Source organism: Homo sapiens, chromosome 7 (assembly GCF_000001405.40).
Source record: "Homo sapiens chromosome 7, GRCh38.p14 Primary Assembly".
In the NCBI taxonomy this organism is placed as follows: domain Eukaryota; kingdom Metazoa; phylum Chordata; class Mammalia; order Primates; family Hominidae; genus Homo; species Homo sapiens.
Genome location: NC_000007.14, coordinates 35,192,444 through 35,205,661, shown reverse-complemented (window position 1 = coordinate 35,205,661; position 13,218 = coordinate 35,192,444). Strand labels below are relative to the sequence as shown.

General features: G+C 36.9%; 1 protein-coding gene across 2 annotated transcripts in view; it reads left to right on the top strand.

The window, feature by feature from the left end:
* Positions 1-3,232, top strand: part of TBX20 (T-box transcription factor 20) — a 51,671-nt gene extending 48,439 nt beyond the window's left edge. For both annotated transcript variants that reach the window (NM_001077653.2, XM_017012456.2), the window contains 2 exons: positions 1,080-1,192; positions 2,892-3,232. In NM_001077653.2, coding sequence (NP_001071121.1) covers positions 1,080-1,192; positions 2,892-3,232 — 454 coding nt within the window. The remainder of the gene's footprint in view (positions 1-1,079; positions 1,193-2,891) is intronic.

The window sequence follows — 13,218 nt, the reverse complement described above, 5'->3', positions numbered from 1 at the left end:
TAGGTAGTAATTTTTCACAGGTAAAGTTTGCATATTTATGTGAAATGTTGACAAGTGTTAACATTTTAAAAAGTTATTATGACATTTTATTTGCTTTGCTTATTCCCTCAATATGAAATGTGGTGTTTGGTTGTCCTTCCTCATTTAACACATATTTTATAAGTCTTCTTTTGTCCTTTGCTGGTCAATTTGGCATTGGTCTTTGGGCCACAGCTGTTCCAGAAATGTGTGCCATGCAGACTAATCTGTTATCAGTATGCACTTTTGGCGAACAAATTGGCTAAAATTGTACTGGCTTTTTTTTTTTTAAAAGCAGAAGGTCAAATTGTCCAATGCCAAATTTTTTTTTTATTTTTTAAAGTTAACCTCACTGTTTGGTTGATAGACTATGTTACAGGAGGAAGACCATCTACAAGACAATGTACCAATTTACCTAGAGGCTAAAACTCCTTATTGGTCATTTGTGTTTTCTTCATGGGTTTTTTGTAATTTTCAGTCTTACAGCAACAAGGATCTTAGTGTTCATTACCCAAACTATCTATATTGTACTATAATCTATGAATTTGTTTGATTTCTTGGTGAATATTAGAGTCTTTCGCTGACTAATGATAATTTGAACTTTTTGCCAACATTTCATTGGTTGTTGGATCAGTGCAATTTGTATCAACTGAGTATTTGTTTTGTATTTGTTAGCTGATGAAGTCAGTAAGAAGAGTCATTGCAGCTCCTTGCAGTAAATTCATTCACTCATTATTTTTCACATCATGGAATTTCATATTCTTGTGGTCAGGTTTCATAGCTCCTGTTCACCCCTTTGTCCTTCATTTTAAAGTATTTCAGGGGATTGTCCTTGTCCTAGTCAGTCATGTTTGCTTGCAGTCATACACCTGAGGTCATGTCTCTGAGGAGTCACTGTACAACAGAATAAATGTACATGTTTTGAATTTCATCTTTCTGTGCAGTGGTTGCTTTTTGGCTGAGAAAATGGTTTTACTGATTAGTGAGTTACCTCTAAGACCTCTCTGTATCTCTGAGTCCTTTACATTTTACTTAACCTGTGATATGTCACTCTAACCTAGGGAAAGTGTGGAGAGCCTGATTCAAAAGCATTCCTATGCACGCTCACCCATCCGTACCTACGGAGGAGAAGAAGATGTCTTGGGGGATGAGAGTCAGACAACCCCAAATCGAGGTAAGGTAGTTTCCAAGGCCATGGAATTGCTGGGAGGCAGAGCACCTAAAGGAGAATGGGGGCAGGTCGTTGATGAGATGGCCAGTCCTCAGAGTACACGATGCCGGGAAAGGATTTCAGGAGCCTCCTTGGGAAGGGAGAGCCCCGACACTGATCCTCACAGATTTCATTATTTTGCCTTTGAATCATAGGCGATGATGCTGCCTGCAGGTTTCCTATGGTTTGTTTTTTTTTTAAGTGAAAGAATACTGAGCCTTTGAGTCAGGGATCAGGAGTTACTTGTCCATGACTTAGTACATAAGAGCTGTTGAACTTTGGGGGCAGTCACCAAGTCCTTCTGAACCTCAGTTTCATAATCTGAAAGTCAGGGAATATATCTGTTCCATCTATGTCAGGTATAATTTGTTAGAATCAAAGACCAAAATAGAAAACACTTTTAAAAGAGGATTGTCCTAATGAAGGATATTACATAGAGGAAGTGGCCCCAGTGTTGACAGCAGGAACTGAACAAAGTTTCTCTGTTCCCAAGGCTTAGAGAGCAGCCCTCTGCATCTGGGAAGAGAGTCCAGAGAAAAGAGCCCAGAGGGGCTCCATTCTGGGAACAGTAAAGTTCGTATGGGGAGAGAGTCCTCTGCATTGTTTTATGTCCTTAATATGAAATTATATAATCTGTGAAAACATAGGACATTTCTTATTACTCAGTCCAAGTGAACCACTAGTATTACAGTTGACTCTTGAACAACACAGTGGTTGGGGAACCAACTCCTGTGTGGTCCAAAACGTGCATATAACTTTTCACTTCCTAAAACTTAACTGCTAATAGCCTACTGTTGATCAGAAGCCTTACCTGTAACATAAACAGTCAATTCACACATATTCTGTATGTTACATGTATTACATTCTGTATTCTAATAATCAAGCTAGAGAAAAAGTTATTAAGAAAATCATAGAAAGGAAATATATTTACTATTCCTTAAGTGGAAGTGGATCATCATAAAGGTCTTCATCCTCATCTTCACACTGAGTTGGCAGATGAGGAAGAGGAGGGGTTGGTCTTGCTGTCTCGGAGGTTGTAGAGGCTGAAGAGGTGGAGGAGGTGAAAGTGAGGCAAGAGGGGTCAGGCCTACTCAGTGTAAATTGTAGTGAAAAATATCTGCATGTAAGTGGACCCGTGCTGTTCTAACCCCTGTTGTTCAAGGGACAACTGTATACAGTCAGAAAATTCATTGTCAACTCTATTCTAAATTTCTGGATGCTGTGGTGGGAAAACTTACTTTCTTAGGTTCTCACAACAGTTTTGGAAACCAGACAGCTTGGTAGATATTTCTTACATTCAGCCTTCCTTAGGACACTACAGAGGTCAGAACAGATATCAGGTATTTGCAGCTTTTTTTAAGAGAATCAGGTCATTACCTGCAGGCAGGGTATTAATGTTTTGGCCAGTCTGTGGGAGTGTACAGGCTATCCAATGAGTTGTCTTTTTCCATTTAGTAAATTCTCTATTCCATGCAAGGTGTAAATATCATCTTCTTACCTAGAAAAGTAGATTTGCCTCGTGACAGATCTCATATGTGTTTGTCTTTCTAAATTACAGACGTATTAAATATTCTTAAACACAAATTGATCTTTACAGATAATTTAATTCTTGATCTGTACATTGACACAGTGTTTCCAGTCTAATGAGTGTTTTTCCTTACAGGGTCAGCCTTTACAACATCTGATAATTTGTCTCTCAGCTCCTGGGTATCATCTTCTTCCAGTTTTCCTGGGTTTCAGCACCCACAGTCCCTGACTGCTCTTGGCACCAGCACAGCATCCATAGCAACACCCATTCCTCACCCCATCCAGGGTTCTCTGCCACCATATAGCCGACTGGGAATGCCTCTGACACCATCGGCCATTGCCAGCTCCATGCAAGGGAGTGGCCCCACATTCCCTTCATTCCACATGCCGCGATACCATCACTATTTTCAGCAGGGGCCCTATGCTGCCATTCAAGGACTACGCCATTCCTCTGCTGTGATGACGCCATTTGTATGACTCTTCTAAAAATGGGAGAATCCAGATCCAGAATGTGCAAGTGGGTATGGAAATATAGGACAGGGCTGGGTGGGTGGGATGTGGGGTATCGGAGCAGGGGCTTTCCAGGAGACACAGGACCTATCAAAGAGGAGAGCCAGACTCACAATAAAACCTACCACTGAGGGAATGCACCACGGACCAGGATTCATCTGAGGGACAGCTCTTGGGTTCAGGAGAGAATCCATGTAAAGTTCTCAGCCAGCCTGAAAGTTTACTAATACAAGGCTGATGAATCTTAAAGTGCATTATTCCTCATGGTTAAAACGCTGTGTTCATGCAGTAATGTATAAAATCATTGTGTGTAGGGTTTCTTCCTGCTTTTCACAGGATAAAAGAATCTTCAAAGAGGCCATACTATATAGCATACTGACCATAATGACTAACTGAAGTCAATTTATCCCTGTAGAAAATGGGAGCCAGTAGAGAAATATTTGTAGTGCTGTAGCATAAGCATGTTTAGTTTTCTTTTATGTTAGTCTGCTGGGGAAGGAGCTGAGATAATGCTAATGCATCCTGTTTTGTGGATGAATACACGGTAATGACCTCACAAAGTTCTGTTTGTAATATTGAAGGGCCAGTAACCAATAAGCTCAGTTTTCACAGTCTTCTTTCTTCCTAGTTCTCTTTATTGCAAATACTTGCCAGAGTTAGGGTTGGGGCTAGAGTTATGGAGGAAAAATCTTCCATATACAGTTTTGAAGCAAGAGCCTCTCTATATTACACGGTAAAACTGAAGTTTGATTTTTCTGGGCTGCATTCTAAACACACTACTGACTAATTCACTGAGGAACACTCCAAAGCCTAGGCATGATGTTATGTGAGGCTCGCTTTCACTTACAGCTGCAACAGAAGGATGGTTGTTCTATTCCAGAAGGATTTCTCTGCCGTTGGTGCCAGAGATCCCTTCATTTTCACTTCAGTTTTGGAAGACCTTGTGGATGTTAAAATGCATCTGGACAAATTCTCATTTTCAGTAAATCTGCTTTGTTGTTGCTGCCGCTGATTGACAAGGATTTGAGAATGACCATTCTAAATGCCAGGATAGCCATGATTTAACTTATGTTCCTGAGTGGAAATGTGTCCATACATCTAATTTGGCCTTTTTCCTTACTGTGTTACATTTAGTGACTCCTTTACCATTTTGCTAGGTCTGTAATCTTAAATTGCTTGATAATGGAATGGCTCCATAACTGAAATGTTGGCAATTCTTATAAGTAATCTAAAGCATTCTTCCACTTTATTTTCAACTTTTGCTATCTTCTTAAGCCTTCCTTTAATGTTTATAATAGTAACAAATATTTTAGTTATATATGACCTGTATATTGTTTTTGAACAGCATATATATATATATATATATGCATTTACAGTCAGGGTAACACATTTGGCATTTTGCAACAATTTATTTCCCTAATAACATAGTTTTAATGAAATTAATAGTTTTTCAACTTTAGATTTAATGCACTTCAACTACAGGATGCAACCTGTCGTCTTAGAAAATTTCTCCAAAACTCTAATTTAATTTTTATATGTAATATTCATTCTACTCTTCTTGCTACAAAAGTATTGAATCTGTTAAAAGGGATGGGAAATATTTCTACTGACAGTAGAAGTGTATTTGGGGGGAAATGCAATATACTTATCACATCAGACTCCCGTGGGATTTTATTTGGTGGTTTTAATGTTAGCCTTTTTCATATCACATGCCTTTCTGGGCACTTCCAGCTTGTGAAACAAGGCATCATGGCACAGCCTGTCTAGGTGATGCTGTTGTTGGATTTTGCCCTTGCTATTCTCCACTGTACTCCAAAGTTTACTTACAGAAAAGCATGGGCTGCGTTAACAAAGCATCTCACGATCCTACAGCAAACACTGTGGGCCAATTTTTAACTTGTTGCATGTTATGCTGTAGTATCCATAGGTAGTTTGTTTTCAAACAAAGTACAGGTGTGCATTTCTTTAAAAAAGCAGTTATGAGTAATGTTTAAACTATCCATAGAGCTAGGATAGGGGTTTACTATTTAATAGCTGGCCTGTTGCCAGTGCTCCTTTGAATATAGAGTACTGCTGCTTAAAGCAGGAATAACAAAAGATGCTGTTTTACATAAGGCTACTCAATACCCTGATAAATTACTGGTCTACTAAGGTGAATCTGTATCTGAATTTTATTTTCAAAGAGGATGAAAAGATTGTTTTAATACATACTGTTTTGACATTTCTACCAATCTGTGTGTCTCAAAGAGATTTGTGTGTTTTTGTTGAATATGGTTTTACCTAGTATTTCCTGACTTCATAATTTTATTTTGTAATTAAGCAATATAAGACTATAAATAAGAGTGCTTAGAGAAAACAAAGACTAGTCAGACCTAAAATTCTAAATTGGGTATATATTTTTAAGTATTATTCGAACCAGAGAAAAGAAGCACAAGTGAAATAGAGCTTAACCTCATCAGAGTCACTTGATCCATGGAAACCAAGGGGTAGAAATTTCCCCTCCCTGGGCCTTTCTGAGGTATCCTGGTCATTGATTCTTATTAAACCCTTGGGAGTTTAGTATTTAAAATTCCAAAGCCCATTCTGGCAAAAGTAATTTCAAGAACTACCTATTTAATGGGAAAGCCAATTGAATAATAAAGGCCATGAATTATAATATATTTAGAATATATTCAGGGTTCCTCCCACGACTCCCCCCGCCCCCCGAGTATATTATAGTGTCAAAAAGCATGGCTAATGGGAAGTGCTGCTAAAAAGAGGTCCTGCCAGACCTGCTTTATCTAATCCTGAGGAATTAATTCAGAACTTAATAGGTTTTGCAGTTGTGGTTTGTTTTTAAAATATCAATAATTCTGAGTAGATTCAAGGTCTTTTTTTTGTTTTGTTTTGTTTTGTTTTGTTTTTGAGACGGAGTCTCACTCTGTTGCTAGGCTAGAGTGCAGTGGCATGATCTCGGCTCACTGTAACCTCCGTCTCCTGGGTTCAAGCAATTCTCCTGCCTCAGCCCCCTGAGTAGCTAGGATTACAGGTGTGCGCTACCATGCCCAGCTAATTTTAGTATTTTTAGTAGAGACAGGATTTTACCATGTTGGCCAAGATGGTCTCGATCTCTTAACCTTCTGATCCACCCACCTCGGCCTCCCAAAGTGCTGGGATTACAGGCATGAGCCACCACACCCGGCCTCAATTTTTTTTTTTTTTTTTTTTTTTTTTTTACTAACTTAGTCTTCTCCTCTCCTCTGTCTACCCTTAGCAATATATAGGTAAACATATCCAGCTTGTCTAACACATCACAGATTATTAGTTAACAAGGTGTAGATTAATGAGCTTATATTGTATTGCTGGATCTTTTGAGTTAATAACAATGGTAACTTGTCCAGAAGGCCTATCATCATTCCTAGTAGGTGGGCACAGAGTAAGAGATATTAAGAAGCTTCCTGATGAGTCATCATCTAGCGAAGGCCCTGTGTAGGGCTTTATTATAGGAGTTACATTGACTTCTGGGGCATTCAAAGGTCTCCCCTCTTATCCATATCTCTGTCATTTTGCTTCTCCAGCCACGACAACACACTTTCCTCTCCAACTGCTCCCTCCCCACCAAAAAAGAAGACCCTCTAAAAGGCAAAGGAATAAATATTCTTAGAAGTAAATTATCTTCATCCCATGCTGCCTTTTTCAAAGAGGTGTTAGGATATTTATCCTATTTCTGTATTTCACAGTAGCTTTTCAGGCTGTCCTGCTTATATATAAGCTGATTTATATTGAGAAAAATCACTTTTGAATAAAGAGGATGAAATGACTTTACACCCCATTAAATACTCAGTCAAGCTTAGCCATGACTCAGTAACTAAAAAGTTCAAAAAATCCAGTTATGTAATGTGCAGAGTAACAAATTGCAAGAAAAACAACTTAATCTTCCAGTGACTAAGTAAGAAAAACTGTTGTCACTATTAAACATGTAGGAAATTGATAATTATTACAAACAAAGCAATACTCTACCCTAAATCTAGACAAATCACTGGACAGATGATAAGATTTTCAGCTTTCTCCTTTAAAGAGCTGTGCCAATGTACAGATTTTTTTGTAAACATGCAAAGGGAAGGTTACAAACTCCTTAAACTTTAAAAAACCATAAATCCTTTCTTTGCTACTTATATTCTATGCCAATTATAATATTCCAAGACTTACCTTTCTTCAGAATGCTTACATATGGAAAGGTTTATTTATAAATATTTGATAGGTAAATATTCCATATGTATTTTCTAGCCCGTCTTTCTCTGTCCCTCCCTCAAATAACTTCATTACCCTCTCCTTTTTAAACGAAATATCTTGATAATAAGAAAACAAAATCATTTTTTTGTGAAATAATACATATGGACAAAAAATACAAGTTGTATTTTACTTCTGGTTCATTAAAATATTGTGTTTAGTTGGATTTTTTCCTCCTTTATTTTCAGAAACATAAAAGAAATTGTTTTATTTCCTAAAGGATAAAATTGGATATAGCCTCTTTAGTAGACACTATCACAGTTCTGTTGTTTGCTGTGTTCATTTGCTTAATGAATTGCGTGAGAACAGTCACTGTAATGAAATATGTGTGCTGGGGGTGGGGGGAAGGGCATGGGAAATGTTTTATGAAAAAAAGTTATAAGCCTAATACTATGAAGTAACATCTAATGCAGTTCTTTTTAAGTGCAATATATTTATTTCTGCTAGAAATATATTATCAACCTTATGTAATATTTGAAGCATTACATATTATTTGTAAACAGCTTAAAATTATATATTACCCCAATTGTACATAAGTACAAATGTGTGGATATTAGTTTCTTTCATTAAAAGTGGTGTTTTTTTAAAAATACATTTGCACCCATTTACACCTTTCATTCACTGACACTGTTTTATGATGTTTGGTACCTGTTTCCTCACCTGACAAAAAGGATTAGATAAGATTGTGGGTCCCAGCTGGCCACTCACAGGCTGGACACAGCCCGGGATTACTGCATAGTATTTTGAGTTTGTCTTTAGTTGCATTTGAAAGCCTTGGAAAAGACATTGCTCTCAAGTTCCCACTATTTTCCATTTTCTGCACCCAGTCCCCTTCATTCGTGTATGCTACCCAATGAACCCTCAGAATCACATGATTTTGCACCTCTCTGTACTGAATTATACTGAAGACTCCATAAAACTTAAAAACGCCTGTATCTCATTTCAGCCATGAGCACTTGGATATGCTGTGATGATATTACACAAAGCAGAATGACACCAAATAAGATTAGCCAAATTATAAGTCTTAATCCTCCTTCCACATGACAGTCCTTCAAAATATTTGATGTTATCATTACCCCCTGCTTTCAAAAGTCTACTCTATTACCCTTAATTTTTTTGTGCATGCCTAACACCAACCTTTTAGAAATCTTTTATTTGGAAGGATTTCATGCTTAAGGAAGAGTTGCAAGAAGACCATAAAGAAACTCTGTACACCCTTTATGCAGATTCACAATTGTTAACCTTTTGCCCTATTTACTTTATCATGTGCATTTACAGTGAGTAGTGTGTGCATAAACACACATGCACATGCATGTGTAATATATACAAATTATTTTTCTGAACCCCTTGAGAGTAAGTAGCATGTCATGCCCCATTATCTCTAAATAATTGAAAGTGTATTTCCTAAAAAAAAGATTCCACTAAATAATCACAGTAGGGTTAGCAACTTCAGGAGATTTAACAATGATGCAGTACTTTGACGTATCATCTGTATTCCAGATTTGTCAAATTACCCAGTAATGTCATTTGTAGCATATCTTTTCTTCAGTACAGATCCACTTCAAGATCACATATTGCATTTAGTCTTCATGCTACTTTAGTCTCCTTAAATATAGTATAGCTCTTCAGCCTGTCTTTGTCTTTCATGGCAAAAGGATTCCTATTGTATTAGAAATCATGAATTCATACTGATACCTCCAATTCCAATGCACTCCCACAGAGTCCTCTTTTCTTGCTTTGCCCCATTCGATATCTGTATGGAATACAGTGGAAGAAGGCTCAACAATTACCTCAACGTATTTATTTACTCAACTCTACCATACACTTAAAACTAATTTCAGATTGCTTCACCTGTACAACTACAATACACAAACCTTCTAAAAAGAGGTCAGGGTTTGTTTGCGTTGTTTCCGTGCTACTCAACTAACAGTATATAGCCAAATGATATGTTCAGCAGTTACTTTGATTAATTCATTTTTTGTCCTCCTGGATAGTTATGTTACTCATGCGCAATACAAGTGGGTTTATTTGTTCGGTTTGTTTGGAGTTTTAATGGATCTTTTCCTTCCTATTTTTATTGATATTTTTAAAAAATAGAAAATAATGTGCTTTCAACAAACTCATAGATCTAATAAGTGATTATGGCAAGGTTGAATTATAGCAAGGTTAGAGGATACAAGATTAATACTTTAAAAGACCGTTGCTTTCCTATATACCAGAAATGAACTGTTGGAATTTGAAATCAACAGTTATATCATCACTAAAGAAGGAAAAAACAACAAATAGATATAAACAAAATATTCACAAAAGCTATATAAGGTAAACTACAAAACTTTGATGAAATAAATCAAAGAAGATCTAAATAAATGGAGAGATAGTCCATGTTCATGAATAGGTAGACTCAATATTGTGAGGATGTCTGTTCTTCCCAACTTGATCTATATATTCAGTGCAAACACAACCAAAATTCCAGCCAGTTACTTGTGGCTAAGAACAAACTGATTCTAAAGTTTATTTAAAGGCAAAATACCCAAAATAGCCAACACAGTATTAAAGAAGATAAGCAGTCAGAGGACTTACACTACCCAACTTCAAAACTTACTACAGAACTATAGTAATAAAGAGTGTACTATTGGCAAGAGAATAGACAATTAGATAAATGGAACAGAGAGCCCAGAACTAAGCCCACATAAATATGGTTAAATGATCTTTGACAATGGAACAAAGGCAATTCAGTGGAGAAATAATAACCTTTTCAACAAATGGTACTAGAACAACTGAATATCCACATGCAAAATAATAAGTCTAAACACAGACTTTAAATCTTTTGCAAAATTAACTTAAATGGATCATAGACTTAAATACAAAATGCAAAACTATAAAATTTCTAGAAAGTAACAGGAGAAAATCTAGGTAGTTTTGGTTTTTTAGGTACAACACCAAAAGTACAATCCATTAACAAAAAAATTAACATGATGGACTGCATGAAAATTAAAAACTTCTGTGAAAAACATTGTTAAGAGAATAAAATGACTAGCCACACTCTGGGAGTAAATATTTGCAAAAACATATCTGATAAAGGATTCGTATTTCAAATATACAAAGAGCTCTTAAAACTCAACAGTAAGGAAAAGACAAATTATGGGCAAAGGATCTCTCTGAACAGATACTTAAAGATATACAGATGGCAAATAAGCATATGAAAAGGTGCTCAACATCACATGTGATTAGGGAGTTGCAAATTAAAACATGAGCTACAACTACATACCTATTAGAAGAGCTAAAATTCAAAACACTAGCAATGCTAATGCTGGTGAGGATGTGGGGCAATAGGAACTCTCATTCATTGCTGGTGGAATGCAAAATGGTACAGCCATTTAAAAAGAAAGTTTGTCAATTCCTTTCAAAACTAACAAAGTCTTATCATATGATCTAGCAAGTATGTTCCCGGGTATGTACCCAAGTGAGTTAAAATTTTATGTCCACTTAAAAATCTGCACATGACTCTTGACAGCAGCTTTATTCATAATTGCCAAAACTTAGAACTAAGATGTCCTTCAATAGGTAATGGATGAACAGTCTGTGGTACATCCATTATCCATACAATGGAATATTTTTCAGCAATAAAAAGAAATGCACTATCAAGCTGTGAAAAGACTTGGAGGAATCTCAAATACATATTGCTAGTGAAAAATGAGCTATACACTGGGCGGTTCTAATTATATGACATTCTGGAAAAGGCAAAATTACAGAGATGGTAAAAAGATTGGTGGTTTCCACGGTTTGGGGGGAAAGAGGGAGAAATGAAGGGATGGCGCACAGGTGATACTTAGGCCAGTGAAATAACTCTGTGATGCTACTGTAGTAGTAGATACATGAAATCATGCATTTGTCAAAACTCATACTACTGTGCAACTCAGAGTAAGCTGTAATGTAAACAATGGACTTTTTGGTCAATAATGCACCAATATTGGTTCATCAATTGTAACTAATGCACTACAATAATGCAGTAGTTTAATAATAGGGGAGACTGCCAGTGTGGGGGAGAGGGGATATATGGGACTTCTAGATTTTCTACTCGATTGTTCTGTAAACCTAAAACTGCTCTAAAAATAGCCTCTTAGTAAAACAACAACAACAATGAGATACCGCGTAAGAACCACTGTGATGGCTATAATTATAATTACAATAACAAGTTGGCAAGGATGCGGAGAAATTGGAACCCTTATATATTGTCGGTAAGAATATAAAATGATGTAGTCTGGCCATTCGTGAAAAGGATAAAAAAAGGTTACTTACTATATGACCCAGCAATTCCACTCCTAGGTGTACACCCAGGAAAAATGAAGAGGTATGTCCACACAAAAACCCGTACACGAATGTTCATAGCAGCATCATTCATGATAGGCAAAAAGTGGAGACAACCCAAATGCCCATCAACTGACAAATGGATAAATAAAATGTGGCATATCCATATAATGGAAGATTATTCAGCTATAAAAAATGAAGTATGATAAATGTTACAGCATGGATGAACCTTGAAAACAGGATGCTAAGAGAAGCTGGTCAAAAAGGATTACATGTTATATGATCCCATGCATGTGAAATGTCCAGCATAGAAATATCCATAGAGATGGAAAATGGATTAGTGCATGCCAGAGGCTGGAAGGAGGGAGGAATGGAAATGACTGCAAGTAGGTATGGGGTTTCTTTTAGGAATAGTGAAGATTTAAATTCTGTTAACACTTATAACTAAGACACTGCACTAGCCCTTTAAATATTTCCAAATTTTAATTTTTTAAAAAAAAGTCTACCTTGCTTTTTTTGAACCCAGGCATACAGCCTTAATTAAGAAATATGAAAGCTGCAAAACTCGATGGTTTTTCTACTAATGGATTATAAATTCTCACTAATAAGTATCTCAAAAAGGGTTTCAACGGATGGTACCAAAGATGAGAGCATTTTAAAGTTTCATATTTATCTTTAGGGGATGGGTCCATACTTATGCGAAAGCAGAGCTCTGCTGCCCCCAACAAGTCTGGTGGTCTTGATGTAAACACTTATTATTTATTTAGGGCTGTCTCACTCTCCTCCTTATTCTCTAGTTGCCATTTAGGCTACTAGTAGATAGAAGTAATTAGAAAATAGGAACAAGGAGGCCCACCCTACTTAGAGACTGGGCAGTGCAGGTGAGAAGGAATCAGAGGAATAAAGTTCAGGGATAAGGGGGAGGCCAGGTTGGGGCTGGGCCGAAGAGATGAGAGAGAGATGAGCTCAGCCCTCTGGGTGGGCAATGACAAGTGTAGGTACTAGAGGACAAACTGTGGGATAGATTGCAGAGTAAGACCCTCAGGGTGGAGTCTGAACACATAGCTGGAGGCAGAGGAGGAGGGAAGGAAAAAAGTGGTAAAAAGAGATCTTAGTACAGGCCACTGTATGACTTAGCAGGTGCATCTACCTAAATATTTGTACAAATACCAACTAGAATCAAGTAAGTTTAAAAGACCTTATTTAGGCCATGTCATCCAAAGTATTTTATAGTTGAGGAAATCAGAACTAGAGAAACAAAGTAAATTGGCCAAAGCATACTGGGCCTAGTCTAGTGATATATCTTCAACTCTATATTATAATCAAAGTTCAATCTTAAATCAACCTAAAATATTATATTATGTAAAATACAGCAC